The sequence below is a fragment of the Homo sapiens genome, chromosome 1 (genome assembly GCF_000001405.40).
Source record: "Homo sapiens chromosome 1, GRCh38.p14 Primary Assembly".
Lineage (NCBI taxonomy): Eukaryota > Metazoa > Chordata > Mammalia > Primates > Hominidae > Homo > Homo sapiens.
This window is the reverse complement of record NC_000001.11, coordinates 155,275,984-155,277,462: the sequence shown is the minus strand read 5'-3', so window position 1 is coordinate 155,277,462 and position 1,479 is coordinate 155,275,984.

Here is a 1,479-nt window from a genome sequence, read left to right as displayed (position 1 = left end):
GCCGGCGCGCGGGGCGGAGGGGGTGTGTGCTAGACTGGCGGGCGGCGGGCGGGCTGCGCGGCGCCCCCTGGCGAGGGCCGCGCCAAGACCGGGCGGGGCTGGGACGCCGGGATCCTGGAGGAACTCCGAGAGGGGCGTGGCTTAGCAAAGAAGGCGGGGAGCGCAGCCTGAGCCAGGGAGAGGGCGTGGCCTAGCGTTGGCCTTTCATCCACTGAGAACCAGGGAGGAGGAGCCCCCTGCAGTGGCGGGAAAATCGGACGCGGGTTTGTAGCTTGAAGGACTTGGGAGGGAGAGGGATTGGGGACCAATGGAAGAAGTGGAAATGGCTTTTGGGATTCTTCTCCACTCTCGCCCAGGGACTTCTGTCCTGCTCCCGTCTTCTCTCAACACTGTCCTAGGCATATTCTTGTCTTTTGGTCTCCTCCGAACTGCTTCCCCTAGTATTTAATTTCCTAATTCATTCTGTCAGCCTTCACCAAGTGCAACTCTGCCTGTCATTGAGTGGATGCTGAGGAAACAAAAATGAATACAAAAGTCCTAGTCTTAGCATCTCCATGTAGTAATGGAAAACAACACAAAACAAAACAAAAACAAAGGCCTAGCCATAAAGCCACTGCTCATCTGTGCCCAACGACAGACAGGTAAATTGCAGTGCTATGCGAAGTGCTACAAATTCCTAAATATCTCAAATTCTCCCCTTCATCTCCAATTCTTATTACCACTGCCTCATTTCAAGCCCTCAGCATTTTTTCACTTAAATTACTTCGGAAACCTCTAAAAGAGTCTTCAACCTCTTCCAGGCCAATTCTTCTTCCATTCCCTGCCAGTTACCTTCCTAAAATCCAACTATGGCTGTGTCACTTGCTTGAAGCCCATCAAGCTTTCCCATCTTCTACAGGGGTACATTTAAGCTGCTTAGCATGGTGTACCAGGCCCAAAAAATTTGGACCTAGTTTCAACAGTCTCTCTTCTGACAGTCCCTCTCTTGAAAGCCACAGCCCCAATCATGCTGAAAGACTTTGTGCTGCCTTGTCTCTATGCTTTTGCAAATATTTTCTCTGCCTGGTATTCTCCTCCAATTCACTTTCGAACAGTTGGTTCAGATCTTGCTTTCTCTAGGAAACCTAGGAACACATTTCCAACTCTCCTTTCCTCAGGTAGGGTCTATTCTAGAGCTTTTTTACAGCAGCCAGGGCACCACTGTTTTGAGCAACTCATGTCACAGGGCTACCATTATTATTATTATTTTAGAGATGAGGTCACACTATGTTGCCCAGGCTGGTTTTGAACTCAGAGCTCAAGTGATCTTCCTGCCTTGGCTTCCCAAAGTGCTAGGATTACAGGCATGAGCATGGTCTCATTATTTATTTACAGATTTTCTCTCCTGTTAGATTGTGAAACTCTGAGAAACAGGAACCTTGCACCTGGCATAATTCTGGACACATAGTGGACATTCAGTAAATGCTTGTTGAATGAATT